This window comes from Homo sapiens, chromosome 3 (genome assembly GCF_000001405.40).
Source record: "Homo sapiens chromosome 3, GRCh38.p14 Primary Assembly".
Classification (NCBI taxonomy): domain Eukaryota; kingdom Metazoa; phylum Chordata; class Mammalia; order Primates; family Hominidae; genus Homo; species Homo sapiens.
Genome location: NC_000003.12, coordinates 148,163,738 through 148,168,995, shown reverse-complemented (window position 1 = coordinate 148,168,995; position 5,258 = coordinate 148,163,738). Strand labels below are relative to the sequence as shown.

The window sequence follows — 5,258 nt, the reverse complement described above, 5'->3', positions numbered from 1 at the left end:
AAATGTGAACACTGGTCCCTTTCCAAGAGGTCCAGCCATTATTTTCACTCAGTTTCTCTTTAGGATATGGGCAGCCTCCTCCCTGCTTATCCTGCCATCTGCAGTCACTATCTCTGTCTCTCAACAACACTGTTCTTCTCCACTGTCTCCCTAAAGATAGAAATGTCCAACAAACGAATTGAGGAACCTTTCAAAATTCTAGCACGTTTTTGAAGACTTAATCCTCAGTAACTTTGTGACTTTTGGAGATGAGCATTGGTATTTTAAAATCATAAAATGGTTAGTGTTTGGGAATTTTTAAGTTATTAAAAAGTAAATCCAACTTCGTTTGTCAACAGCTACAGTTTTCTCTTGGATATGCCATTTACACTGCAGAAATGTTTTCTAACTAAGGAAACTCTGGCACGGTGAAGTACTAAACATTATTGAATAATGTTCTGTAAACCCTCAGGCCATCTGCAGGCTTAAAATGGGTTTGTATCTCATATCTTTGCTTTCAAAGTCCTCCAGTGACTTTACATATATTTTTCTGGTAATTTAGATATCATTGAACTGGAGATTCCACAGTGAAAACCTTTAATACTCTTGAAGAAAAATTAAAAAAATAACAGTTTGATACACTAGAAAAGGCTTTTTTCTCTTGCTTTTCCTGCACACTAAATCTAAAAATCTAATCTTTGCTAAAAGAATTGAGATTTGTGCCCATTATGGTTTTTCAACATCTAAATAGAAGTTTTTATGTTTGCTTCTGGAATAAAAATGCAAAATGACCTGAAATACTTTTAAAATATTCAAATTTTCCAACTGTGCCTAACATGACACATTTTAAACTTCAAAGAAATAGTGATTTATTCAATAAAACAAGTTGTGTGCTTTTGAGCAATGGCTCAAAGCTCCTTTTGCCTGTCTGTGCTTCCCATGCCTGTCCGTGCTTCCCATGCCTGTCCATGCTTCCCATGCCTGTCCATATTTTAAGTCACTGAGTGTCTTATCTTCATTTGGAGGCTTGGATATATTTTCTTCCAATTTGTAGTCTTTAATCATTTCAGTTTTTTTGTGTGATTTTGTTTTGTTTTGTTTTTTAGAGACAGGGTCTCTTTCTTTTGGCCACACTGGGATCCAGTGACATGATCATGGCTCATGTAACTTCAAACTCCTGGGTTCAAGTGATCTTCCCTCCTGAGTAGCTAGGCCTACAGAGCACCCTACCACATCTGGCTAGTTTTTCTTATTTTTTATAGAGACAGGGTCTCACTATGTTGTCCAGGCTGGTCTCAAACTCCTGGCCTAAAGCAAACCTCCTGACTTGGCCTCCCAAAGTACTGGCATTACAGGCATGATCCTCTGTGCCTGGCCAGTCACCTCAGTTTTAATACTGTTTTTCTTAAGAGATAGCTAAAAGATTTCCTTTAAAAATCATCAACATATAGACTCTGAGAATGTGATGTGTGAAAAAATTGCCTGTTGAAGTAGAGATAATAGCCATCGTTTTACTGAAAATCAGCACTAGTTTGAAAGAAACATTTGGAAAAAAAAGTTCTAAATGAAATTTTTAATAGGAGAGAAAAAGTAATCTGTGAAAACACATAACTTTTTCAAATATTAAGAAATATTGCTGAAATACGTTTGTCAGCTGCTCCTTTCTGCTCGTGGACGCCGCCAAGGAGGCATCATTAAAGTCTCTCTTCTCCCTGCCATCATGTCTAAGTCAGGGTCCCCTAAAGAGCCCGAACAGCTGAGGAAACTCTTCATTGGAGGGATGAGCTTTGAAACAACCGATGAGAGCCTGAGGAGCCATTCTGAGCAATGGGGAACACTCACAGACTGTGTGGTAATGAGTGAGTCAAACACCAAGTGCTCCAGGGGCTTTGGGTTTGTCACCTATGCCACTATGGAGGAGGTGGATGCAGCCATGAATGCAAGACCACACAAGGTGAATGGAAGAGTTGTGGAACCAAAGAGAGCTGTCTCAAGAGGAGATTCTCAAAGACCAGGTGCCCATTTAACTGTGGAAAAGATATTTGCTGGTGGCATTAAAGAAGATGCTGAAGAACATCACCTAAGAGATTATTTTGAACAGCATAGAAAAATTGAAGTGATTGAAATCGTGACTGACCAAGGCAATGGCAGGAAAAGGGGCTTTGACTTTGTAAACACTGATGACCATGATTCAGTGGATAAGACTGTCATTCAGAAATACCATACTGTGAATGGCCACAATGGTGAAGTTAGGAAAGCCCTGTCAAAGCAGGAGATGGCTTAGTGCTTCTTCTAGCCAGAGGTCAGAGTGGTTCTGGAAACTTTGGTTGTGTCATGGAGGTGGTTTCGGTGGGAATGACAACTTTGGTCATGGAGGAAACTTCAGTGGTGGTGGTGGCTTTGGTGGCAGCCATGGTGGTGGTGGATATGGTGGCAGTGGGGATGGCTATAATGGATTTGGTAATAATGGAAGCAATTTTGGAGGTGGTGGAAGCTACAATGATTTTGGCAATTACAACAATCAGTCTTCAAATTTTGGACCCATGATGGGAGGAAATTTTGGAGGTAGAAGCTCTGGCCCCTGTGATGGTGGAGGCCAATACTTTGCCAAACCACTAAACCAAGGTGGCTATGACAGTTCCAGTAGCAGCAGTAGCCATAGCTGTGGTAGAGATTTTAATTAGTAAACAAAGCTTAGCAGGAGAGGAAAGCCAGAGAAGTGACAGGGAAGCTACAGGTTATAACAGATTTGTGAACTCAGCCAAGCACAGTGGTGGCAGGGCCTAGCTGCTACAGAGAAGACATGTTTTAAATAAATCCTCATGTGTATGGGCAAAAACCTCGAGGACTATATTTGTGACTAATTGTATAACAGGTTATTTTAGTTTTAGTTTCTGTTCTGTGGAAAGTGTAAAGCATTCCCACAAAGGGTATATACACATATATATACATATATATATACACACACACACACTCTATATACATATATATACACACACATATATATACATATATATACACACATACATATATATACATATATATACACACACACACATATACATATATATATATTTGCACCATAAATGTACGGTAGTATGATCATGACACAGAATGAGTGTCTTTTTTTTTTTTAATGTGCTGTGCAAAGTTAGTCTACTCTGAAGCCATCTTGGTAAATTTCCCCAACAGTGTGAAGTTAGAATTCCTTCAGGGTGATGCCAGGTTCTATTTGGAATTTATATGCAACCTGCTTGGGTGGAGAAGCCATTGTCTTTAGAAACCTTGGTGTAGTTGAACTGATAGTTACTGTTGTGACCTGAAGTTTACCATTAAAAGAGATTACCCAAACAAAATCATGGAACTAATGGTTATAAAAATGATTGTTGGCACATCCTATGCAATATATCTAAATTGAATAATTGTACCAGATAAAATTATAGATGGGAATAAAGTTTGTGTGTCATCCATTACCATGTGTAATCAATAAATTATTTCATTTACTTGAAAAAAAAAGAAATATTGCTTTACTATGTATGATACTATGGCTTAAATTGATTTCCTAGATTACTGAACCTAAATGATGATAACTTTCTTCTCTATCATCATTAAAATATTTACCAAGCCTTTGCTTATATAAGGCACTTAGATTAGGCAAAGTTAGTTAGAAAGATAATCCCTGAACACATAGAATTAATTATTAAACAAAAATTTTCCCGGCTGATATAAATAATAGCTAAAATGTATTGAGCACATACCATGTGGCAGCACTGTTCTTTGCATTTAATCTTTTACAGTTAATGCTATTATACATAAAATCTTGTTTTTCAGATGAGGGAAGATGAGGCATGAAGAGGTTAATCTAATGCCTACATAATTAGTAAGTGAAACATTTAGGATTCAAACTCAGAGCCCATAATCTTAACCATTATGGTATCCAGCCTTTGAAGAATCGACTTGATTAGATGCGGTTGATGTTTTAAATATTAGGTTTAAAAAATATTTTGTGTGTGCATGTGTGAAATATTCTACAAGAGTATTAGCTTTAAAGAGACCACACAATATTGCTGTATGTGGAGAAATAGAAACTGGAAACAGAAAATCAGAAAATATGCTTTTTGCTAGTTGAGGATGTAAGAGAGTTTGGGGAAAAGTCTATATTAGTATTTTAGAATAAAGGGCCTTTAAAATCATATTAATAAATGCACTTATTTTACTTCAACAGTGAAGTTTTACCATATTGCCACCTATTTTAAATATAACCTTTGTATTTAATTTATACTAAATGTATTATATATATTTCCCCCCGCCCCCAGCAGGAAGGCTCCTGATCTTTCTAAAATAAGCCATTATTTCATTTCTTTAAGAACAATTTTTTAAATTTACATTTTCTTTTCTGTTATTCTGTGAACAATAACAACATCAAATGCTTGCAGAACCTTTATGGAATAAAAGTAAAATTGAGCTCCTATCCAGACAAAGGCTTTTATAAATTAACCACTATCATGCTAAAAAGATCAGAAAGCAATTTTTCCAACCAAAAAACTGCCCTGTTTCCTATCATGTGATTCACACTCTGAGCTATAAATAAAAGAGACCCAGAGAGACAGGACAAGAGAGATAATAGTAAGTGAAAACACTGTTAGCTATGAATTCTGAACTAAATGAATAAGCAATTGACTAGTGGCTCATAGGATTTTTTTTTAAACTCTTAAAAAAATCTCCATAGGTTTTGGTTAAATTCATTACTTAATTTGCCATAAACCACTATAGTATATTTCTGTGGATGTGTGTGTACATGCATGAAGTCAACTATTTTGTGGATATATATCCTTATGTATAATTTTAGTTGACTGCAATCACACTTTTGGAGGTAGTGAGAACAAAAATGAGTAAGCAGATTTATAGGTATGTAAGGTATAGGAATATTCTGAGCTACCAAGAATTATTCTTCTTGGTTAGTAACAGTTAACTCAGAGATACAATATTTTATAAGTTCTCTCTGTGATGAAATTATACGTGCTGTCTCTCATAATCTCCGTCTATCCCAACCCCATACCTGTGTATGACAGAAAAATTAGATTTATCAAGTACATTTTTACATATTCTCTCTCTCTCTCTTTTTTTAATTTTTTTTTTTTCAGACTCATTCTGTTGCCCAGGCTTGAGTGCAGTGGCAGTCTCGGCTCACTACAACCCCCACCTCGCGGGTTCAGGTGATTCTCTTGCCTCAGCCTCCCGAGTAGTTGGGATTACAGGACCATACCACTACATCTGGC

The 5,258-nt window shown here is 36.5% G+C and overlaps 1 pseudogene; it reads left to right on the top strand.

The window, feature by feature from the left end:
- Positions 1,621-2,911, top strand: HNRNPA1P20 (heterogeneous nuclear ribonucleoprotein A1 pseudogene 20; annotated as a pseudogene).